Source organism: Homo sapiens, chromosome 6 (genome assembly GCF_000001405.40).
Source record: "Homo sapiens chromosome 6, GRCh38.p14 Primary Assembly".
In the NCBI taxonomy this organism is placed as follows: Eukaryota; Metazoa; Chordata; class Mammalia; order Primates; family Hominidae; genus Homo; species Homo sapiens.
This window is the reverse complement of record NC_000006.12, coordinates 11,093,228-11,117,928: the sequence shown is the minus strand read 5'-3', so window position 1 is coordinate 11,117,928 and position 24,701 is coordinate 11,093,228. Positions and strand designations below refer to the sequence as shown.

The 24,701-nt window shown below is 45.1% G+C and overlaps 2 protein-coding genes across 2 annotated transcripts in view, besides 6 other annotated features; one reads left to right on the top strand and one right to left on the bottom strand.

Annotated features, from left to right (window-relative positions):
- The window catches only part of SMIM13 (small integral membrane protein 13), a 44,900-nt gene extending 20,805 nt beyond the window's left edge, over nucleotides 1-24,095 (bottom strand). Inside the window, exon 1 of the mRNA NM_001135575.2 lies at nucleotides 23,540-24,095. Within this exon, the coding sequence (NP_001129047.1) occupies nucleotides 23,540-23,615 (76 nt within the window). The 5' untranslated portion in view covers nucleotides 23,616-24,095. The remainder of the gene's footprint in view (nucleotides 1-23,539) is intronic.
- ERVFRD-1 (endogenous retrovirus group FRD member 1, envelope) lies at nucleotides 6,204-15,440 on the top strand. The gene is made up of 2 exons (NM_207582.3): nucleotides 6,204-6,252; nucleotides 12,299-15,440. Exon 2 carries the CDS (start codon nucleotides 12,619-12,621, stop codon nucleotides 14,233-14,235), a length of 1,617 nt encoding a protein of 538 aa, NP_997465.1. The 5' UTR covers nucleotides 6,204-6,252; nucleotides 12,299-12,618; the 3' UTR covers nucleotides 14,236-15,440.
- Nucleotides 21,469-21,548: a silencer, noted in NCBI's record as "silent region_16910". NCBI's record gives its function as "represses an Ori minimal core promoter by ATAC-STARR-seq in GM12878 lymphoblastoid cells {active_cell/tissue: GM12878}" and the evidence as "EXISTENCE:reporter gene assay evidence [ECO:0000049][PMID:35858748]".
- Nucleotides 23,406-23,525: an enhancer, noted in NCBI's record as "active region_23977". NCBI's record gives its function as "activates an Ori minimal core promoter by ATAC-STARR-seq in GM12878 lymphoblastoid cells {active_cell/tissue: GM12878}" and the evidence as "EXISTENCE:reporter gene assay evidence [ECO:0000049][PMID:35858748]".
- Nucleotides 23,406-23,947: an enhancer, noted in NCBI's record as "H3K27ac hESC enhancer chr6:11094215-11094756 (GRCh37/hg19 assembly coordinates)". NCBI's record gives its function as "activates a minimal SCP1, AML or CMV promoter by ChIP-STARR-seq in primed H9 embryonic stem cells {active_cell/tissue: H9 hESC(primed)}" and the evidence as "EXISTENCE:reporter gene assay evidence [ECO:0000049][PMID:30033119]".
- Nucleotides 23,626-23,935: a silencer, noted in NCBI's record as "silent region_16909". NCBI's record gives its function as "represses an Ori minimal core promoter by ATAC-STARR-seq in GM12878 lymphoblastoid cells {active_cell/tissue: GM12878}" and the evidence as "EXISTENCE:reporter gene assay evidence [ECO:0000049][PMID:35858748]".
- Nucleotides 23,948-24,488: an enhancer, noted in NCBI's record as "H3K27ac hESC enhancer chr6:11093674-11094214 (GRCh37/hg19 assembly coordinates)". NCBI's record gives its function as "activates a minimal SCP1, AML or CMV promoter by ChIP-STARR-seq in naive H9 embryonic stem cells {active_cell/tissue: H9 hESC(naive)}" and the evidence as "EXISTENCE:reporter gene assay evidence [ECO:0000049][PMID:30033119]".
- Nucleotides 24,196-24,405: an enhancer, noted in NCBI's record as "active region_23976". NCBI's record gives its function as "activates an Ori minimal core promoter by ATAC-STARR-seq in GM12878 lymphoblastoid cells {active_cell/tissue: GM12878}" and the evidence as "EXISTENCE:reporter gene assay evidence [ECO:0000049][PMID:35858748]".

The window sequence follows — 24,701 nt, the reverse complement described above, 5'->3', positions numbered from 1 at the left end:
CTCCATCTCTATTGAAAACACAAAAATTTGTTGGGCATGCAATCCCAGCTACTTGCAAGGCTGAGGCACAAGAATCGCTTGAATCCGGGAGGCGGAGGTCGCAGTGAGCGGAGATCTTGCCACTGCACTCCAGCCTGGGTGACAGAGAGAGACCCTCTCTTAAAAAGAAAAAAAAAAAAAAAGATAGACCATATTCTGTATCATAAGTCCCATTAAATGTAAGAGTAAACCCTCCTAAATTTTATCATACAAAATACATTGTGTGACCATAAAAAAGTCAAATTAGAAACTGATAACGAAATATCTGGAAAAGAACAAATATTCAAAATTTAACAACATACTTCTAAATAATCCATGGTTCAAGGGAGAAATCACAAGTGAAATTAGAAAATATCTTGAATTGAATAAAAATTTAAACGTCAAAATCAATACTTACAAACAACTATTAAACGTCGGCCAGGCATGGTGGCTCACGACTGTAATCTCAACACCTTGGGAGGCCAAGGCAGGCGGATCACGAGGTCAAGAGATTGAGACCATCCTGGCCACCTGGTGAAACCCCGTCTCTATTAAAAAAAAAAAAAAAAAATACAAAAAATTAGCCGGGCGTAGTGGCGGGCGCCTGTAGTCCCAGCTACTTGGGAGGCTGAGGCAGGAGAATGGCGTGAACCCGGGAGGCAGAGCTTGCAGTGAGCCGAGATCCCGCCACTGCACTCCAGCCTGGGCGACAGAGCGAGACTCCGTCTCAAAAAAAAAAAAAAAATACAAAAATTAGCCGGGCGTGGTGGCAGGCACCTGCGGTACCAGCTAGTCAGGAGGCTGAGGCAGGAGAATCAGTTGAACCCGGGAGGTGGAGGTTGCAGTGAGCCGAGATCGCGCCACTGCACTCCAGCCTGGCAACAGAGCAAGACTACGTCTCAAAAAAAAAAAAAAAAAAAAAAAAAAAGAAACAATTATCATTAAATGTCTATTTTCTTAAAAATAAGAAAAGTCTAAAATCAATAACCCAAGATTTCCCCATAAGAAACTTGAAAAAGAAGTACAAATTAAACTCAAAATAAGCAGAAGGAAAGATATATAGATATACGCATAAACCAATGAAACAGAATATGGACAAGCAATAGGGAGAAAACAATCAATTAAACCAAAGGTGGTTCTTGGAAAAGATCAATAAAATTTATAAACCTCTAGTCAGGCCAATTACAAACAAACAAGAAAGGACACAAATAATCAATATCAGATCCTACAGGTGTTAAAAGGCTAATTAAGAAATATTATAAACTTTATCCCTGTAAATTATACAATTCAGAGTAAACAGACACAGTGCCTGAAAAACACAAACTCTGAAAGCTCATTCAAGAAGAAACAGGTAAGTGGAATAGTCCAATATCTAATAAAGAAACAGAATTTGTAGTTGAAAATCTTTCCAAAAAGAAAAGTCCCAGCCCAGATGAATTCTACCAAACATTTACAAAGAAATTATGTCAAATGTGACAGACACACTCTAGTAATCCCAATGAGTCAATCCTTTGTGTAATCTTTATATGACTCCTCCTCTTGAATGTGGGTAGAAACTGATCTGCTTCTAACCAACAGAACATGGCAAAGCTGGCCAGGAGCAATGGCTCATGCCTATAATCCCAGCACTTTGGGAAGCTGAGGTGGGCGGATCACCTGAGGCCCAGAGTTTGAGAACAGCCTGGCCAACATGGGGAAACCCCATCTCTAGCAAAAAATACAAAAATTAGCTGTGTGTGGTACTGCATGCCTGTAGTCCCAGCTACTTGGGAGGCTGAGGCACGAGAATCGCTTGAACCTGGGAGGCGGAGGTTGCAGTGGGCAGAGATCACACCACTGTACTCCAGTCTGAGTGACAGAGTGAGACTCTGTCAAAAAAAAAAAAAAAAAAAAAAAAAAAAAGAGGAAGGAAGGAAGGCCGGCCGGCAGGGCATGGTGGCTCACGCCCGTAATCCCAGCACTTTGGGAGGCCGAAGCAGTTGGATCACCTGAGGTCGGGAGTTCGAGACCAGCCTGACCAACATGGAGAAACCCTGTCTCTACTAAAAATACAAAAAAATTAGCCAGGCATGGTGGCCCATGCTTGTAATCCCAGCTACTTGGGAGGCTGAGGCAGGAGAATTGCTTGAACCCAGGAGGCAGAGGTTGCAGTGAGCCGAGACTGAGCAATTGCACCCCAGCCCGGGCAACAAAAGTGAAACTCTGTCTCAAAAAAAAAAAAAAGAAAAGAAAAAAGAAAGAAAGAAAGAACATGGCAAAGGTAATGGGATAGTTAATCCCTTTATTAGGTTATATTATTTGGTAAAGATGAAGGGATTTTGAAACTATAATTAAGGTCTCAATCAGTTGATTTTTAGTTATTCAAAAGTGAAATTACCTTGGGTGGGCCTGACTCAATTAGGTAAAAACCTTAAAAGAGGGATTGGGACCCTCCCTGGTGTCAGAGATTCAACTGGCATGAAGAGGTGAGCCACCTTGAGTCCTCAGTCACAAGGAACTGAATCCTGCCAACAACCACATAAGCTTGAAGGAGGAACCCAAGCTCCAGAAAGGAACGCAGCCAGGCCAACACCCTGACTGCAGCTTTAGGAGCAGAGGACCCAGCTAAGCCAGGTGGAGACTCCTGACCCACAGAAACTGATATCTAATAACTGTGCGTTGTCTTAAGCTGCTAAATTTATGGGAATTTGTTATGCAGCAATAGAAAACCAATATAGCAATTGTATGTAAATGCTTCCAAAAATCCAAAGAGACAGGAACAGTACCCAACTCATGTAATAAGGTCTGCATTAACACGATGACAAAACCAGACAAGGGTGTTTAAGAAAACCACAAGTATTTCTCATGAATATAAAGAGAAAAATCTTAAATGTTTACTAAATTAATTGCTACAGTATAGAAAATGGATAACATGTCATGACCAAAACAGGTTTATCTGAGGAATGGGTTACTTTCACATTCGAAATGCAACAAAATCCACCATATTAACAGACTTAAAAGAGAAAAAATACAGCCGGGCGTGGTGGCTCATGCCTATAATGCCAACACTTTGGGAGGCCAAGGTAGGTGGATCACTTGAGGTCAAGAGTTCGAGACCAGCCTGATCAACATGGTGAAACCCCGTCTCTACTAAAAAATACAAAAATTAGCTGGGTGTGGTGGTACACGCCTGTAATCCCAGCTACTTAGGAGGCTGAGGCACGAGAATCACTTAAGCCTGGGAGGAGGAGGGTGCAGTGAGCCGAGATCATACCACCACATTCCAGCCTGGGCGACAGAGTGAGACTCCATCTCAAAAAAAAAAAAAAAAAAAAAAAAGAGAAAAAGTGCATGACCATCTCAATACAGAAAAATCATTAAAAAAAAAAATCCAATATCCACTCCTGATTTAAAAAAAAAAGAAAAATCACCACAAAGTAGAAACAGAGGGGAAGTTTTCTTCCTAAACTTGATAAAGAATATCTATTAAAATCCCACAGCTAATAATTTATTTAATGGTAAAAGGCTAAATATTTCACTCCAAAAGATCAGGGAGGAAGGTCTGCTCTCACTCCTTTCTTGCAACATTATAAGGCCCTAGCCAGTGCAATGAGGCAAAAGCTAAAAGACAAATGTACACATTGGGAAGAAAAGGTAAAACTACCTTCAACTGCCTGTAATCCCAACACTTTGGGAGGGCGAGGCAGGTAGATCACTTGAGATCAGGAGGTTGAGACAAGCCTGGCCAACATGGTGAAATCCCATCTCTACTAAAAATACAAAAATCAGCCAGGCGTGGTGGCGCGCACCTGTAATCCCAGCTACTCAGGAGGCTGAGGCAGGAGAATCGCTTGAATCCTGGGGGCAGATGTTGCAGTGAGCCAAGACCGCGCCATTGCACTCCAGCCTGGGCGACAGAGTGAGATTCCGTCTCAAAAAAATTAAAAAAAAAAAACAAAAAGAATAACTTTATATGTCATACCTTAAAAACTTGATAAGAAGGACTTATCAAACAATAACAACACAAAACAAATGACATTTAAAAATAAAAAGGCAGCCGGGTGCGGTGGCTCATGCCTGTAATCCCAGCACTTTGGGAGGCCGAGATGGGTGGACCACCTGAGATCAGGAGTTCGAAACCAGCCTGGCCAACATGGTGAAACCCTGCCTCTACTAAAAATACAAAAATTAGCTAGGTATGGTGGCACATGCCTGTAATTCCCAGCTACTGGGGAGACTGAAACAGGGCAACCTTTTGAACCCAGGAGGCGGGGGCTGCAGTGAGCCAAGATTGTGCCACTGTACTCCAGCCTGGGCAACAAAGCAAGACTCCATCTCAAAAAAATAAAAATAAAAAGGCAAGCTACAGAATAGAAGAAAATACTTGCAAAACATATCTGATAAAAACAAACAAAAAAAACTTGTATCCAGAATAAAGAATTGTTTACAACTTGATAAAAGTAACACAATTTTTTAAATGAGTAGAAAAAACTTGTAAAGATGATTTACACAGAAGGTAGAAAGAATGGCAAATAACACATAAAAGATGCTGAAAATAATTAGTCATTAATGAAACAAAAATCAAAAGCATAATACCCATCCTCTAGAATGGCTAAATTAAAAACAGACAATACCATCAAATGTTGGTGATGGATGCGGAGTAACAAATTCTCACTCATGACTGCTGGCAATGCAAATGTTTGGCAGTTTCTCAAGAGAAATGAAGTTACTCAAGAGAAATGAAAACATATGTCTACACCAAGATTTGCAACTGAATGTTAATAATACTACTAACTACTAATACTACTACTACAGGCTCACGCCTGTAATCCCAACACTTTGGGAGGCCCAGGCGGGTGGATTACTTGAGGTCAGGAGTTCGAAACCAGCCTGGCCAACATGGTGAAACCCCGTCTCTACTAAAAATACAAAAAAATATATAATAAAATAAAATAAATTAGCCAGGCATGGTGGCAGGTGCCTATAATCCCAGCTACTTGGGAGGCTGAGGCAGGAGAATTGCTTGAACCCAGGAGGCAAAGGTTGCAGTGAGCCAAGATCATACCACTGCACTCCAGCTTGGGCGACAGAGCAAGACCCCATCTCAAAAAAATAAATAAATAAAACAATAATAATACTAACAGCCAAAAGCTGGAAACCACTCTCATGTCCATCAATGAGTAAATGGATAAACAAATTGTGGTATATCTATACAATGGAATACTCTTTCAGCAATACAAAAGAATGTATTACTGATATACACAACACAAATAGATTTCAAAAGCATTATGCTAGCAGAAAGAAGTCAAACACAAAAAGCATGTTGTGTGATTTGATTTACATTAGAAAGGTAAATTTATGTTTATGGAAAGCAGTTTGGGCCAGGTGTGGTGGTTCATGCCTGTAATCCCAGCACTTTGGGAGGCCAAGGACAGCAGATCACTTGAGGTCAGGAGTTCAAGATCAGCCTGGCCACCATGGTGAAATCTTGTCTCTACTAAAAATACAAAAATTAGCTGGGCATGGTGGTGCACACCTGTTAATTCCAGCTATTCAGGAGTCTGAGGCACAAGAATCACTTGAACCCGGGAGGTGGAGGTTGCAGTGAGCCAAGATTGCATCACTGCACTCCAGCCTGGGAGACAGAGCGAGGCTGTCTCCAAAAAAAAAAAAGCAAGCAGTTCTATCAGGAGGCCATTAGGTTAAGCTGGTTCTGTTAGAGTAGGTAGTCAGGCAGACATGAGCAGGGCAGGAGAGGGCCCCCAGCTCAGGAATGTCAGGCGACCATCAGGTGATGATCAGGCGGTTGTTACACTGTTTCTCTAAAATAATAATAATGGGTTGCAGCCAGTACCAGGGAAAGACAGTCTCCCAAAAGACAGGAAACACCGGAAGCTGGTGATCAGCAACTTCCTGATAAGATCTCCGAAGCTGGGCAAGTGGGCTCAAGCATGCGCACTAAGAAGCAAAATGACAGTTTAACCAGTATGTGACCTTCCTCTAGGAACACCTGACTGATAAGGGAAAAATGTCTCAAGAAAGCATGCGCACAACTTCAGTAAACAAATGCACATGTGGCTCCTCCCAAGTGCTGACAGGCCACTGCACAGCAGACAGCCCACCCCAAGGAAAAAAATCCAAGGAGGAGAAATGGAAACCCCGGAACCATGCCGATGTATAAAACCCCAAGTCAAGGGCTGAACAGGGCACTTGGATCTCTCAAATGGTGCAGTGACTCGGATACCTTCCCTAGTGGTAAGACACCTCTACGCCTTGCCTTCTTCGGCTGGAGGCGTTCAACCCTCGTACGTGGTTTCGTTCTCCTCTTTCACTCTCCTGCTTACTAACCTACCCCTGGAACGATTCCTCTCAACCACAGTGGCTCTGCTCCCCCTGGCTGCTCTCTCTGCTCACCCCGAAGGATGGCTTGCAGGGGTGGGAAGGACCTTGGAGTCTGCACTAAGTAGACCTGAGACACTAATGGCCCCCCCAGACAGGAGGCTGATGAGAGCGGTAGGGCTAAAACCTACAACCATGTAGTATCTGGGGTTTCCTCTGCTTTTTCAACTAAAATCAGCTCTTTCCCAAAAACCCACCACCACCTATTTTCCTTTCTCTGTATGTATTCCAAAATGACCTCGCACACCCATTGGACCAACTGCCTTGGGGGTAAGTCTGTCTTTTCTCTGTTCTTACTTTGCATGCCCTGCAACTTTCTTCTCTGCCTTAAACACACATTCCCTATTTGTTATTCATGCACCCGCAGCTCTTGCTGTGTTAGCCTGGCAACCAAGAGATGGACTCCCTTACGGATGTCCCTTGATATTTATACTTGTTACCCTACCAGCTCGGATGACCTCCAACCCTTTCCCTGTCTGTTGGCTCACTGCCGGGATAGACACTAATCAGAACCTTAGCTCTGTCAGCTCCTTATGACTTACCATATGCTTTTCATCCCTGTTATGCTCCAGGGCCATGTTTCTCCCTGGCTTTTGAATGGTTTGCTTGCTTGCATAGGACCTCACTCTGTAGCCCTTAAGGACCCCACCCACTCGCTTTTTTTCTGAGTTAGCACCCCTTTGTGGGGAAGGAAAATTCTCTGCCGTTTGCAGGGTCTTATCCCAAACACCAAGTCCTCCAGAGGTTCCTCCTTTATATCAAGAGGGCAAATAAACGTTGCCCTCTCAAATCCAAGGGCTGCTGTTTCTGCAAACATATGAAGGCTTTCCATGAGTATTCCTCTTGCTTCCTCCCGCTTTCTCCTGTAGCAGAGGGATTGTTCTACCTCGTTAAGCATTTGTTCTGCATGTTACCCTGGGAGGATGAAGAATCCCAAATACAAATTTTCCTCCATTCCTCTAATCACCTCCAGGCCCTTCTCAATATGTATCAGGACCTTCAAAGTTATATTTGAAGGGAGAGAAGTCCAGCCCCCTTGCAGCAATTGGCAGAAAAACAGGCTTCTCGTCTTCTTAAAGAACATGGGAAATGAGAATCTGAGAAGAGATAATCATTCTGTTGCTAGAATGCTCTGAACAAGGGTCACTATAAGGTCATGGAGACAAGGATATAGGACAGCCCAAGGAGGCAGATGCAAGAGACCAAAGTACCCATAGAACAGAGATGAAGACTAGTTCCAGGCTACAAACACAAAACAGATTACCACTGCAACACAGATGAAGGCTGGTCCAGAAATGGGATGGGATCAGGGTAGGGGTACCCAGTAAACACTGGGTTCATTCCAGAACCCCTTGGATGAGTGGGAGGGCACCCTGTTCACTGTAGTCTGCCATAGGCACAGGATTAAGAGAACAAGGGGAGATGCCCTCTTCTCGCCTCTGTTCTTTCTTTACAAACGGGTAATTGTGCCTCAATAAAACAAGATGGGACCAAGGTTAGGGGTACCTGGTAAGCACTGGTTCATTCTGGAACCCCTAGAATGAATGGGGGACACTGCCATACGCAAAGGAAAAATGGATGAATGGGGTAATGCCCTACCCACTCTGGTCTGCTGTAAGTTCAGGAAAAAGACAGTAGGGAAATTGGAGGGGTTGCCTTCTTTTTCTCTTCTCTCCTCTGTTCTCTCTGTGGACAGGTAATCAAGTCTCTGTACCACAGGACACACTACTAGGATACATCCTCAAGAACTGGGAAAAGTTTGACTCCCAAACCCTAAAAAGGAAAAGGCTAATATTTTTCTGTAATACAGCCTGGGTTGAATAAAAGCTCTAGGACCAGGAATCTTGGCCAGAAAATAGAAGCACAAATTTAAATATGATCCATCAACTAGATTTGTTTTGCTACCACCAGGGAAAATGGACAGAAATCCCCTATGTGCTGGCCTTCATGGCCCTAAGAAACAACCCTGACCTTTGTTGGGCTTGTAAAACAGATCCATGGCCATAGTCATGCAGCCCCTTCCCATTGGTTCAGAAGGCCCCTCATCAGGTTTACCCAGAGCTCAAGCCCCATTGCCCCTTCTACCCAATTATATCGAAGTCTCCCAGAAGCCTTCTCCTCCCTACCCAGGGCCATCCTCTGGACACCACCTCCTTAAGTTATGCCCCATTCAGGAGGTTTAGTGGTCCCAGTGGACCCACTGGAGTCCAGACTCCATTCACTGTGCAAGACCTGAGCCAAATTAAAATGGAACTAGGGAAGTTTATGGAGGACCCTGACAAATATATCAAAGTGTTTTATAAACTGGGCTTAACATCTGAACTCACCAGGAGGGACCTCTCAGTCATACTAGGGCAAACTCTGCCTAAGGGAGAATGTGACTCCATTATGGTGGCGGTCCAACAATTTGCAAACACAATGCACATGCCTGACACTGGTGGCTACCCTGTGGGGGCCACCATAGTTCCCCAGGTCAACCCCAATTGGGATTACAATATCCAGGGGAGTACATGAGCAAGGACCCACATGTTCCTCTATCTGATAGAAGGAATGAAAGCTAGCAGAGCAAAGCCTGTGAACTGTAATAAATTGGGCTTGACAGATCAAGGGCCTTATGAAAACCTCACCATTTTCTTAGACAGGCTAGAAGAGGCCCTAGTGAAACACACTAACCTAGACCCAGACCCACTAGAAGGACAACTGTTCATAAAGGATCATTTCCCTAACTCAAACAACACCAGATATTAGGAGGAAACACCAGAAACTAGCACTGGATCCCAGTACCCCTATGCCTGACATCTGCAAAGTAGGTTCCTTGGTCTTTTACAACCAAAACCAGGAGGAGTAGGAAAGGGCTCAAGAAAAGGAGAGGCAAAAGGAAAAGCAACAGCTCCAACTACTGACTGCCCTGCAAACCTGCCAGCCACCTCTGGCAGGCCCCAGGGAGATCCCTTTGCCCAAATGCTACTTCTGTGGGGAGCCAGGCCACACAAGAAGGCAGTGCCCAAACTGATGGGGACACCCACCCCCAGCTCTCCATGCTCCAATTGCCACAATCTTGGCCACTGGGAAACAGGACTACCCTGAAAGCTGAAAGGCCCTCAGGACATCCCAACTGGATGACCTTCAGCTCCTTGAGCTGAAGGGGGCCCTACGCTCCACTTGGCTCCTGGATTAAATAACACTATTGAAGGGACAGAGCCAAGGGCTGCCTTGGATGTGCCCAGTAGGACTGTAAGTTTTCTTTTGGACATGAGGGCTGCCTGCTCAATGCTTACCTCTTTTCCCAGGCAATTATCCTCCTGGGAGGATATGAAGTGCCCGTAACCTGGAGGTTTACTCCTCCTCTGTGCTGTCTCTGGGGGAAAACCGTCTTTTCTCATTCATTTTTAGTGATGCCAGAATACCCTACATACCTTTTGGGTAGAGATATTTTGCTCAGACTAGGGGCTCAGTTAACCTTTCCTCCAGGGCCAACACCCCCTTTTTCAAATGCAATCTTATGCCTCAAGGAAACCATACACAAGGATGAACTGTTCACAGACCTTCCCATTTATCCAGAGGTCTGGGCCTCAGGAATAACAGGAAAGGCCATAATGGCAATGCCTATAGTAATTCAGCCCAAGAATCCTTCTAGCTATCCTTGTAGAAGGCAGTTTCCTCTTCAGCTGGAGGCCAAAGAGGGATTTCAGCTTCTGACTGAAAAATTTCAAAAACATGGATTATTAATACCCTATAACACCCCATCTTACCTGTTAAAAAGAGCAATGAAAAATACAGGCTAGTCCAGGACCTGAGAATCATAAATGAGGCAGTAGTCCCAATACACCCAATGATCCCCAACTCATATGTAATTCTTCCCCAACCTCCAGATGCTCAGTGGTTTCCAGTCTTAGACCTTAAAGACTCTTTCTTTTGTATCTCCCCCTCGACCCATCCTCCCAATTTCTATTTGCATTTGAGTGGGAGAATGAAAAGGAAGGAGTCAACAGCTCACCTGCACAGTGCTTCAACAGGGTTTCAGAGACAGTCCCCATTGGTCTGGGCAAGCCCTGGCTAGAGATTTGCAGGACCTAAGTCTTGAGAGGAGAGAGTGTCTCCTACAATACATGGATGACCTGTTAATCTGCTCCCCAACAAGAGAACTGGGAATCCAACATCTAGTCCAAACACCAAACTTCCTTGCAGACAGAGAATACAACGTGTCTGAAAACAGACTCCTAAAGTACCAAGTCTTGTTGTTAGAAAACCCATAGGTAACAGTTGAGCAGTGTTCCACCCTTAACTCAGTTTCCTTACTGCCACTACCAGGAGACCATAACACCACATTTGTGTTGTGAGATACTTAACCAAATTTATGCCAGCCAGGAAGATTTAAAAGATCAGCTCCTAGATAATCCACATGACATACGGTTTTCAGGTGGGAATAGCTTTGTCAGGGATAGAGCTAGATATGCAGAGTATGGTACAATGTCCCTTCAACAAATTACAGAGGTTAAAGCTCTGTCCCCGGGGACCTCTGTGCAATTAGCCAAACTCACTGTGCTGACGAAAGCCCTAAACTAGGGGAAAGAAAAGGAGTATATACAAATTCCAAATACACGTTTCTGGTTCTTCACACTCACACAGCTATCTGGAAGGAGAGGGTGTACCTAACAGCTCCAGATACTCAAATTAAATATGGGCCTCAAATCTTAGAGCTATTAGAAGCTGTTCATTTGCCCCAGGAGGTGACAATAGTGCACAGTAAAGGACACCAAAGGGGCTCTAATGAAACTGCATAGGGAAATAGGTTAGCTAACTAAACAGCTAAAGAGACAGGCATCTCAAAAGATACCTTCATGGGGGCCTTGCTCATCTCTCTCCCCAGTGAACTGCTCTCTCTCCAATACATTAAGGAAGAAACAGATTGGGCCACCCAACATGGGTATTGAAAAGAAACCAATGGATGATATAGGTTGGGAGAACTTCTCCGTCTACCTAAAGCCTACCAATGGAAACCATCAAGAGTTTACAGGACTCCCGCCACTTTAGAAGAGACAGTCTAAGGCAAATTTGTAAACCAGTGTTCAGTGGGGGAGGGACTAAATAAAACTATTCAACAGGTTTGTCAAGCCTGCACTTTGTGCACTATAAATAATCCCCAGACGGGGAAGCCCTCTCCATCAGTAAGTCCAATCCAAAGGAGAGGTACATACCCTGCGGAGGACTGGCAGATGGACTTCACTCAGCTCCCTGCATACCACAGGTTTAAGTACCTCGTGGTCTGTGTAGACACCTTCACAGGATGGGTAGAAGCCTGCCTCACAAGGACTGAAAAGGCACAGGAGGTAGCTAAATTCCTCCTAAAGGAACTCATTCCTCAGTTCAGCCAACCCAGGTCATTGCAGAATGACAATGGTCCATCCTTCATTTCCCAATTAACTCAACAGGTTAGTAGTGCCCTGGACATAAAGCTTCACTCTGCCAGGAGACTGTAATCTTCAGGAAAAGTGGAAATAACCAAACCCTCAAACACATCCCCAACAAACTCTGCCAGGAAACAGCACAGCCATGGGTGTACCTCTTAGCTTTAGCCCTCCTTCTGATTTGCTGCCCCTAAGGCTCCCTTGCAATTAAGCCCCTTCAAGGCTTTATATGGTAGGCCATTCCTATATTCTGTCATTACTAGATGAAGAAACTGCTAAAATCACCCACTATGTTTCTTCTTTAGCAGGCTTCTAACAGGCTCTCTGGGAATATGGTTTACAAACAAACCTGAAATCTGAAGGGGAAAAATCCCCACCTCTATACCCCATAGGCTCACAACTTCTCATTAACGCCTGGAAGGATGGAACCCCAAATTCCCAACAAACTCCTATTTGAAAGGGCCCCTTCACCATTCTATTATCTACCCCTACAGCCATTACAGTACTGGAGACTGCCAGCTAGATCCATCACACCCAAGTGAAGCTGTGGAAAAGCCCTTAAACTCCAGAGCCAGAACCAGCAACCTCAGCTCCGGAATACACTTGCAAGGCACTGGAAGATCTAAAATTCCTCTTTAAACAAAAAGATAAGTAATGCCCCACCAACATCCTTTCACCTCAAAGTAAGGTGATCCCAATACTAGAAATTTTACTGGCAATTGCTCTGATTGTTATCACTATTTTAACCCTAACTTGTACACCACCAGGAGTTCCATTGGCAGCTCGTTTTGTGACCAGTTTCTCTTAGGTCACCATGGGCCTGCTCCTGCTGGTTCTCATTCTCACGCCTTCACTAGCAGCCTACCGCCATCCTGATTTCCCGTTATTGGAAAAAGCTCAGCAACTGCTCCAAAGTACAGGATCCCCTTACTCCACCAATTGCTGGTTATGTACTAGCTCTTCCACTGAAACACCAGGGACAGCTTATCCAGCCTCGCCCAGAGAATGGACAAGCATAGAGGCGGAATTACATATTTCCTATCGATGGGACCCTAATCTGAAAGGACTGATGAGGCCTGCAAATAGTCTTCTTTCAACAGTAAAGCAAGATTTCCCTGATATCCGCCAGAAACCTCCCATTTTCGGACCCATCTTTACTAATATCAACCTAATGGGAATAGCCCCTATTTGTGTTATGGCCAAAAGGAAAAATGGAACAAATGTAGGCACTCTTCCAAGTACAGTCTGTAATGTTACTTTCACTGTAGATTCTAACCAACAGACTTACCAAACATACACCCACAACCAATTCCGCCATCAACCAAGATTCCCCAAACCTCCAAATATTACTTTTCCTCAGGGAACTTTGCTAGATAAATCCAGCCGGTTTTGCCAGGGACGCCCAAGCTCATGCAGTACTCGAAACTTCTGGTTCCGGCCTGCTGATTATAACCAATGTCTGCAAATTTCCAACCTCAGCTCTACAGCGGAATGGGTTCTATTGGACCAAACTCGAAATTCTCTTTTTTGGGAAAATAAAACCAAGGGAGCTAACCAGAGCCAAACACCCTGCGTCCAAGTCTTAGCAGGCATGACTATAGCCACCAGCTACCTGGGCATATCAGCAGTCTCAGAATTTTTTGGAACCTCCCTCACCCCCTTATTTCATTTCCATATCTCTACATGCCTTAAAACTCAAGGAGCCTTTTATATTTGTGGCCAGTCGATTCACCAATGCCTCCCCAGTAACTGGACTGGAACTTGTACCATAGGCTATGTAACCCCAGACATCTTCATAGCCCCTGGCAATCTCTCTCTTCCAATACCAATCTATGGGAATTCCCCGTTGCCCAGGGTGAGGAGGGCAATCCATTTCATTCCCCTTCTCGCGGGACTCGGCATTCTAGCTGGTACGGGAACCGGAATTGCTGGAATCACAAAAGCTTCCCTCACCTATAGCCAGCTCTCAAAGGAAATAGCCAACAACATTGACACCATGGCTAAAGCCTTAACGACCATGCAAGAACAAATCGACTCTTTAGCAGCCGTAGTCCTTCAAAATCGTCGAGGACTAGACATGTTAACGGCAGCACAGGGAGGAATTTGTTTGGCCTTAGATGAAAAATGTTGCTTTTGGGTAAATCAATCAGGAAAAGTACAAGACAACATCAGACAACTCCTAAATCAAGCCTCCAGTTTACGGGAACGAGCCACTCAGGGTTGGTTAAATTGGGAAGGAACTTGGAAATGGTTCTCTTGGGTTCTTCCCCTTACAGGCCCACTTGTTAGTCTCCTACTTTTGCTCCTTTTTGGTCCATGTCTCCTAAATCTAATAACCCAATTTGTCTCCTCTCGCCTTCAGGCCATAAAGCTCCAGACGAATCTCAGTGCAGGACGCCATCCTCGCAATATTCAAGAGTCACCCTTCTAAGGAGGACCCCTAGACTGCTCGCTAGTGGAACACGACAGAGGCGAAATCCTGCCCCGTCTCCCGTGGACCTGGCTGGATATGGTTTTTGCCAATCCACAGAGCCATCCTGCCCTGACAGCTAGCAAGAGGCCAAGACCCACAGAACAACCACTACAGCCCCTCTGTCAGCAGGAAGCAGTTAAAGAAGACTGACCTTCGTCCATTTTCCCAGATAATTGGGTCTTGGACTCTTGAGGGGGGGAAATGTTGGAGCAGGTAGCTAGTCAGACATGAGCAGGGCAGGGGAGGGCCCCCTCACCAGGAATGTCAGGCAACCATCAGGTGATGGTGAGGCAGTTGTTAAGCTGTGTCTCTAACATAATAATGAGTGGCAGCTGGCGCCAGGGAACGATGGCCTCCCAATAGATAGGAAACACCTGAAGCTGGTGATCAGCCACTTCCTGATAAGATCTCAGGAGTTGGGTGCGCAGGCTCAAGCATGCACCCTAAGAGGCAAAATAGTGGCATTTAACTCATATATGACCTTCCTTTAGGAAGGCTTGACTGGTAAGGGAAAAACTCCTCCAGTGAACACGTGCACAACTTCAGTAAAAACACTGCACATGCGTCCCCTCCCAAGTGCTGGCAGGCCACTGTGCATGCAGACAGCCCGCCCCAAAGAAAAATCAGAGGAGGAGAAATGGAAACCCCGGAACAATGCCAATGTATAAAACCCCAAGTCAAGGGCCTACCAAGGCAATTGGATCTCTCAAGTCACCCGCTTGGCTCTCTTCAAGTGCACTTTGCTTCCTTTTGTTCTTGCTCTAAAACTTTTACTCCTGCTATAAAACTTGCCTTGGACTATCATGCTACCTTACGCCTCCCCGGCCAAATTCCCTCCTCTCCTCCGGGGGGCAAGGATGGAGTCTGCTGCAGACCCATTGGATTTGCTGCTGGTAACAGTTCCACCATTTAGGTTCCAGCACCAAGCAAACTAACACCCGACTCAGTGTAAACAGCCAAACAAGCTTAACCAATTAGAAACCACCATCTAACCTCTAACTAGGTCCTTTCAACTTTAACCAAGTATTTTCTTTGTCTTGCTTCTGTGGGAACCTTATAAAATTTTCCCCCTTGTACCTCTGTAGTAGAGACCCAGTTGCTTGCAGTTTGGCCCTGCCTGTTCATGAATCACCCTTGCTCAAATAAACTCTCTAAAATGCTAATGTGCCTAAGTTGATTTCTTAACACATCTTTGCAGATTGTAGGAAAACCAATGAACTAGACAACCTACAAAATTTGTTCACACTTTTCTGTAATCAACACATTTTACCTCAATCTACTATCTTTGAAAGGTGTACATTATCCTAAATAAAACTGTATTAATCTAAGGATAGTTTAAATTTCTAAAACCAAATTTAATCTTTAAAAATTGATTTTTCAAAAGTCAATTAATTCATATATATCCACCTGTACTGAAGCCATCCTCACAGGGTTAATGAGAATTCTGGACAGAAACATAATTATAATTAAGCATTAATCAAGCTGCATTTTGACCCATTTTCTTGTAACCAAAAGTCACAATACACTAGATACTGTCCATTTACATCTCCATGGTTCCTAAAAATAAGATTTTTGAGTTAGAATTATAAGGCTTTTAAGAATTGCTAAAGATGAGGCCAGGCGTGGTGGCTCACACCTGTAATCCCAGCACTTTGGGAGGCTGAGGTGGGCGGATCACCAGATCAGGAGTTCAAGACCAGCCTGGCCAACATAGTGAAACCCTGTCTCTACTAAAAATACAAAAAATTAGCAGGGTGTGGTGGCGCATGCCTGTAATACAGCTACTTGGGTGGCTGAGGCAGGAGAATCACTTGAACCCAGGAGGGGGAAGTTGCAGTGAGCGGCAATTGTGCCACTCCACTCCAGTCTGGGCGACAGATGAGACTCTGTCTCAAAAAAAAAAAAAAAAGAATTGCTTAAGATGTTTTTCAGGTTCTGGAATTACAGTAAAACAGCTGTCACCAGTATAAGACCAGTTTAAAGACACCCTACAGAGGAATCAAATCAGCATGAGAATAGTGTCTTCATCTCCCTGTTCCATGGTTTCACCCCTGCACTCTTTGACCAATCAATCGGCCCACTCCAAAACCCTTAAACCCTAGCCCCAAACCCCTCCAAGATGGATTTGGTGTTTCCTTCCATCTCCTCCTTCGGAAGCCCTACCATAGAACCTCTTCACTGCAACCTGGTATTGCGAGAAACAGCTCTATTACAGTTATAGTACCTCAATGTAAGATAAATAAGCAGAAACAAAGTCGAACCTCAGTATTCCTGAATTATTTGTGAATTTATCTACTTGCTGAAATAAGAGAGGTTGACTGCATTCCTCAAGCCACACAGCTAGCAAGCGGCAACGCTAGCTGTGTGACTTGATCACACAGTCACAGATCAGCCCAGGTCCAACGCTAAACATAGAACAACCAAGTTCTGAAATTAAAAACTGGACAGCTAAAATTAAAAACTCAATTTAAGAGACAGAAGATAAAGCCCCAAACATCCTCCAGAAGAAAGGGGGAGGAGGGAATTAGGAGATAAAAAGATAAAATTAAAGAATCAACCCAAAAGGTCCAGCATACAACTACCAGAAGTTTCAGAGAGAACAGAAAAAAAAAAAAAAAAGAAAATGGAGAGGAGGAAATTGATCACAAATCTAGTAGAAAATTTCTCCACAAATGAGGAAAAAATCTGAACTGAAGGGACCTAGAAAAATGAAAGAGACACACACAAAGGTACATCATTATGACATTTCAGTATACAATGACAAAAAGGCTATCCAAAAAGCATCTTGAAAGAGAAACCAAGTCATGTATAATGACAAGGAAACAGAAGGCAATAAATTTTTCAATACCAGACCTAGAAGCAAGAAATCAATGGGGTAACCATTTTTAAATTTTGGGTGAAAATCTATAACCCCAAAATCTATTCAAATTATCAATCAAGTATAAAGGTAAAATATAAATAAATAGAGACATTTTCAGGTATGCATTAGCTCAAAAAAAAATTTTTCATGCATTCTTTCCTAGAAAGCTACTAGAAAATGTGCTCCAACAAAAAAAGAATGGAAACTGAAAAAGATAATGACATGAGATCCAGAAAACAGGGTACAGAAGAGGATAATAGAGAAAGTACAACTTTCTGCAGAATGACAGCTGTTGAGAAAGAAGGAAGGTTCTGGATCTGGGTGGGGGAAGGAGGGGAAAAGCAATCCATTTGAACACGTGGGAAATACCACTGATGAGTGTAAGAGATTGTGGAACATCTGGTAGGGGGCACATAACAATGTACCAAAGTAGGCCAGGCACCGTGGCTCATGCCTATAATCCCAGTACTTTGGGAGGCCGAGGCAGGTGGATCACGAGGTCAGCAGATCGAGACCATCCTGGCTAACACGGTGAAACCTCATCTCCACTAAAAGTACAAAAAATTAGCTGGGCATGGTGGCAGGCACCTGTAGTCCCAGCTACTCGGGAGGCTGAGGCAGGAGAATCGCTTGAATCCAGGAGGTGGAGGCTGCAGTGAGCCGAGATCACGCCACTGGACTCCAGCCTGGGCAACAGAGTGAGACTCCCTCTCAAAAAAAACAAAAACAAAAACAAAAACAAAAAAACAATGTACCAAAGTAATACTAGGTAAGCTAAAAAGGCAATTATGTATTAACTTCAAAAAATTGAAGAACCATGTAAAAATGAAAGTGTGGTCATATTACACTATTTAACCAGCAGAGAATAATGTTTACAGAGTCAAAATATAAATCCACACTATTAAGTCAGCTAAATGTATTATCAATGGCAAGCAGAGAAAGAAATGGATGGAGCATCTACCACGGTTAATAATGTCTAAAAATATATAGTGGCTATTTAGGTCTGTAAAGCTTATGATGCTTCTCTACCTCTACCCTCACCACTAGGAGAACTGGAGTAACAGAATTGAAATAAACTCTTATCTGTTGTATTGAGATCTCCATTGGGCATATCAGGTGTTTCATTTGTAGGAGCTTGGGTATTCTGCAGCATTCATCTATTCATTTGTTGAACAAATGTTTATTGAGTGTCTACTATGTGCCAGACACTTCTGTAGGTGTCAGGGATATAGTAGTGAAGAAAACAAAATGCCTGCCCTCATTGGGCCTTACCCTCTAGTGTGGGAGACAGATGATGGACAAGTAAAACATGTAGTATGGGCCAGGCACGGTGGGTCACACCTGTAATCCCAGCACTTTGGGAGGCTGAGGCGGGTGGATCACGAGGTCAGGAGATTGAGACCATCCTGGCCAACATGGTGAAACCCCATCGCTACTAAAAATACAAAAACCAGCCGGGTGTGGTGGCGGGCGCCTATAATCTCAGCTACTCGGGAGGCTGAAGCAGAAGAATCCCTTGAACCCAGGAGGTGGAGGTTGCAGTGAGCCGAGATCGCGCCAATGTACTCCAGCCTGGCGACAGAGCTAGACTCCGTCTCAAAAAAAAAAAGTCTGATGCATTGAGCCTGGGTCTCAGGAGAGACATAAGAGTTAGAGAAACAAATTTTTGAGTCATTAGCTAGAGCAGACATTTAAATCTCTAGGACTGGATAGGAGACCTTGGGGAGTAAAAGAAAAGGGAAATGTATTTGCAGTATATTATAGAAACATAATAGAAAAAAATAGAATCTTCTCATACAGTAAGGGCAAGTAGGCAAGTACTAGTCCATAAACATTTTATTTCAGAGATCGATGATAAGTAAATAGATGTATTAATGGACTAACACATGTAATCTGTACACTTATGAACATATTAGGAATAATCTATTTTCTATTGTAGGTTGTGGTCAAAAAAAGAAAATTCTAGGGAATGAGAAGAAGCTAAGAAAAAATAATAGCCACTGTGGTAGGAAGAACATCATGGAAATACAGTATATAAAAGCCAAAGAAATGTTGAATGGACCCGGCATGGTGGCTCATGCCTGTAGTCCCAGCACCCTGGGAGCCCGGGGCAAGTGGATCACCTGAGGTCAGGAGTTCAAGACAAGCCTGGCCAACATGGTGAAACCCCGTCACTACTAAAAATACAAAAAATTAGCTGGGCATGGTGGCTGACACCTGTAATCTCAGCTACTCAGGAGGCTGAGGCAGGAGAATCACTTAGACCCAGGAGTAGAAGTTGCAGTGAACCAAGATTGCACCACTGTACTCCAGCCTGGGCAACAAGAGCAAAACTCCATCTCAAAAAAAGTAAATAAAAGAAACGTTAAATGTTTCTAGCAGACATCACTTAACTGTAAGGAATGAATATGACAATTTAAGCTCAGTTAGGACTAAGAAGCGACCACCACAGGCTGGGTAATATGGAGGCCATCTGTTACTGACTTTGACAACAGCAGCATCACTGAATAGTGGGGGTAGAAAACACCTTGGAATGAATGAGAGGTGAGAAAGCAGAGACAACCAATGTAGACAGAAGGGAAACCTGCCTAGGAATCTGAACTTTGGACATCAGAATTCACTAGGTGAAGGAGTCTGTCAGAGCTCTAGAGAAAACTACATAAATTCCTAGGGACAGGAACTGTGTTCCCAGTTCCTGGTAGACACTCAATATTCAGTTTGTTGAACTGAATGAAATAAGAAAACAGGAGACCCAGCCCAAAGAGCAGAGCCTCTTGATCTGAACTCCATGTTTGTATTCAAGGAAGAGGAGTCCATGAAATCTCAGAAATTGGGTGGGGGGGCGGCGAGCAGGGAGCAGATAAGTTATGTGGGTGAATTTTTCTTTTTTAAAAAAAAAGAAAGGTTCACAGCATTTACCAGACTCTCAAAAGGGCTTGTGACCGCTAGAAGGGTAAAAACAACTGTTTTATGGGCATACAGCTACTCCCTAGCTTTCAGCCAGTGCTAAAGACATGGTGCTTGTTATAGAGTGAATCGTGTGCCATCCAAATTCATATGTTGAAATCCTAACCCCCAGTGTGACTGTACGGTATTTGGAGATAAGGTTTTTTTTTTTTTTTTGAAACGGAGTTTCACTCTTGTCACCCAGGCTGGAGTGCTATGGTGCAATGTCGGCTCACTGCAACCTCCACCTACTGGGTTCAAGCAGTTCTCCTGCCTCAACCTCCTGAGCAGCTGGGATTACAAGCATGTGCCATCATGCCCGGCAAATTTTTGGTATTCTTTTTTTTTTTTTAGCACAGACGGGGATTCGCCATGTTGGCCAGGCTGGTCTCGAACTCCTGATCTCAGGTGATCTGCCTGCCTCTGCCTTCCAAAGGGCTGGGATTACAGGCATGGGCCGCCATGCCCGGCCTGCAGATAAAGATTTTTAAAGAGGTAATTAAGGTTAAATAAAGTCATAGGGTGAGGAGCCATAATCCAGCGACTGATGTCCTTATAAAGAGATTAGAACACACAAAGGAGAGACTATGTGAAGACATAAGGAGAAGACCACCATCTACAAGCCAAGGAGAGAAGCCTCAGGAGAAAATCAACCCTGCTGATCTCTGACTTTTAGCTTCCAGAGCTGTAAAAAAATAAATGCGTTTGGCTGGGCATGGGTGGCTCATGCCTGTAATCCCAGCACTTTGGGAGGTCGAGGTGGGCAGATCACCTGAGGTCGGGAGCTCGAGATCAGCCTGACCAACATGGAGAAACCGCATCTCTACTAAAAATACAAAATTAGCCAGGCACTGGGGACGGGCACTGTGGCTCACGCCTGTAATCCCAGCACTTTGGGAAGCCGAGGCGGGTGGATCACCTGAGGTTGGGAGTTCGAGACCAACCTGGCCAACATGGAGAAACCCCATCTCTATTAAAAACAGAAAATCAGCTAGGCGCATGCCTGTGATCCCAGCTACTCAGGAGGCTGAGGCAGAAGAATTGCTTGAACCCGGGTGGCAGAGGTTGCGGTGAGCCGAGATCACGCCATTGCACTCCAGCCTGGGCAACGAGAGTGAAACTCCAACTCAAAAAAAGAAAAAAGAAAAAAAAAAGCAAAACAAAGAAAAGAAATGAGTTGTTTAAGCCACCCACCAGTCTCTGGTATTTTGTCATGGCAGCCCTGGCAAACTAATATCGCACTCCAATTTCTCTCTTAAGTCTGGTCTGATCCTTGCCTCCTCTCCCCAAGTTCCCGCCCCATCCTAGTCAAAAGATGAGGCTACTCCATCATCAGTTCTCCCAACAACAACAAAAAAAGTATTGATCACTTCATCATAGAGCTTTTAGTTCTTGACTATTCCAAAAACTAAGGTGTCCTAGCACAGGGCTCTCCAGCCCTAGCACACAGATCCCTCCTCCCTGCAGGAGGCAAGTATTACCATCTGAGCTCCGCCTCCTGTCTGATCAGCGACATACCAGATTCTCATAGGAGCACAAACCCTATTGTGAAATGCACATAGGAGGGATCTAGGTTGCTCGCTCCTTATGAGAATCTAACTAATGCCTGATGATCTGAGCTGGAATAATTTTATCCCAAAACCATCCCTGCTCCGTCTGTGGAAAAATTGTTCTCCACAAAACAAGTCCCTGGTACCAAAAAGGTTGGGGACTGCTGTCCTAGCACACCTCATCTCTCTTATTCCTTAATGTTTCTGAAACTAAAAGCACTTTTAGAAAAATGTGTATAATTAAACCATCAAACAGCTGTTTAGAGATGAGAGAGCAATTTGGATTTCTGAAGCCATAAAGGTAAATTTGGCAAATATCCTAGTGAAGGTATGGTAGGGTCTACGTGTCACATTCATTCCCATGTCCAGGTAGCTCGCATTTTCAAACTAGAAAGGGTAATAAATGCTTTCCCTCCTTCCCCACATCCAAACATATCACAAGGATTTTGTTTTCCTTACTTCAAGAACCTTAAACATCTACAATTAGTTCAATATTCTAATATTCTTCTGCTTGTTGATATCACAAGCAGAAAATTGAGAAAGGTTATTCAATTGCTTTATCTCATCAGAAAAGAAAGGCTGTAAATTAGAAGCTTTAACCTGGTGTTACAGAAAAGCACAACAAATTTTAAACATACATACAAGGCCGGATGCAGTGACTCATGCCTGTAATCCCAGCACTTTGGGAGGCCAAGGCGGGTAGATCACATGAGGTCAGGAGTTCAAGACCAGCCTGACCAACACGGTTAAACCCCATCTCTACTAAAAATACAAAAATTAGCTGGGCATGGTGGCGGGCACCTGTAATCCCGGCTACAGCTACTCGAGAGTCTGAGGCAGGAGAATCACTTAAACCCAGGAGGCAGAGGTTGCAGTGGGCCAAGATCAGGCCACTGCATTGCACTCCTGCCTGGGCAACAAGAGCGAGACTCCATCTCAAAAAATAAAATAAACATATAAGTTTATAAATACATACACATGCATATGCACAAGTGCACACATATATTCCACAGCGTCACTAAGTATTAATTTGTACATTTATCGTGTAATGAACAAGCCCTATAGTATCTGTATGAATTCTGACCCATTATTACATCAACCTGAACCCATACTTCAGTCTTATAAATATGTGTAAACTCACTGACACGTGTTCTACGTACTTTTTAGATTTTCACAATTGCTTAGCCACTTTGCTAAGAGACCTGTGGTTATCAGCTACTATACATGTACAAAGAAATCAAAAAGATCTAAAATTGGGCTACCATTATTTGAAGAAAAAAGTTGAACGTCCTCTCATTCCAAGAAGGAAAATACGCACAGCATTCGAAATAGCACCATTATTATAGAACTGAGAGTTAGGTTACCCGACCCTGCAAGTTTAATATAGCCGGTGTTTCTAAGCTCTGCCTGGTCTCCACATCTCTGCTTGGAATTGAGTTTAAGGCTGAACTCTAAGTAAACAATTTCACGCGTGCTGAAAACCCAACTCTACCCCACTCGCTGATGAAACGAAGGTGACACCTCTCATTATTAAGGTCAGAATCTGTGCAAATGAAAAAGGACCAATCAATCACTTCACCTTCGAATGCAGGCCAAGGTTACAATCTGGGCAGCCTGTGGTGAGAATGAAAGAGCAGACGCTGCCGGTGAAGCAAGGCTGAGTTTCACTCAGAGGCAGGAAGCCCTGGAGCCTGTCCTTTCCCTCCCCAGGATGCCCGAGGGCCGGCCATGAGTAAAGGGCCCACCTCTGCGCTCAGCCCTAGAGGCTAAGGGACAACAGTTGATTTTAAGACAATTGTCCGTCCACGCCCTTTTGTTTTTTTCAAAAAAACAAACAACAAAAAAAACCCCAGCAGATCAGCGACCCGGCGTGTGGAACTGCCTCGCGGCTACCGCCCCCACTCACCGCACACCATCAGCAGCAGGACGATCAGCAGCGTGGCCACGAACACAAGCAGAGTCAGCCCGACGCTGTGCCACATCTTGGGGGCAGAAGGGCAGTCGGCTCGGGGCGGCTGGCGCGGACGGCGGTGAGCGCGGGCGGCGGCGCGTCCTGCGCTTCAGCGGCGGGCGCCAGGCGCGGCTGGGCGCCGGGGCGGCATGGGCGGCTGGCGCCCCCTCGGCAGCGCCCCCAGGGGGTGGGGCGGCGCAAAGGCGGGCACTGTGGGACCGCCCGCCCGCCCGATCCTTTTCCCGCCGGGGTGGCCAGAGCGCGGGAGGCAGGCGGGCCTCAGGGCGCCTCTAGTCCCTCATCGCCCCGGAGAGCCGAGGCCGCGGCACCCAGAGACCCCAGCGGTCGGATGCGCTTCCATGGCGGACGCCGCGCGCCTGTAGGGAGGACAGAGGGTAAGCACGGGTACACACGGCGGCCACAAGGCCCTCGTCGCTGTCCACCCGTGTCTCTGAGACCCCAGGGATGCCAGATGTCAGCGTCGCCCGGCCGCGGCTGTAGCGGCTTCTCCGCCCCAGGCCCCCTACCGCTGGGGCAGCTCATCACCAAGCTCGCCTCCTCCGCGGCGCGGGGTCGGCTGGGAGATGGAGTGCAGAGCCTGGTGGAGTCGGGACGGCGTTGTCTCGCAGGGACTACAACTCCCAGAATGCACCGCCACTCGGGCTTCGCTGCTTTCATTCTCGGGCGGCTCTGCCTTTGGTCTTGCTCAAGTCGCCTCAGTCGGACGACCGTGGGCTGGCCTTCTCCAAAGCCGCGGATCTGGCTGCCCGTCCTGCTGAGGCGCCAGTGAGATTTCAACCATTACTCCGTATACAAAGTCGTTTTGTTTCTAGCCGTAATCGATGAAGTACGGCGAGAGAGGAAAGAGGAGGCGGCTGCCTGAAAAACTGGTTGCTCGTGCACCTAGCCCTGTTGCCGGGGGCGAAGGTTGGCTATTTGGGACTTGGAGGAAGAACTCAGGTCCCTGCCGCAGACGCGGGTCAGGACACGAAATCTCATTTTCCCCCTGCAACAGATGTTATGTTCTATCTTTTCGTAAGTAAAGCATTTCAGAAATGGCCCGCGGGTGACTTAAGGACAGCTGCACTGCCCTCAAATCACCTGCCTGAGTTGTAAG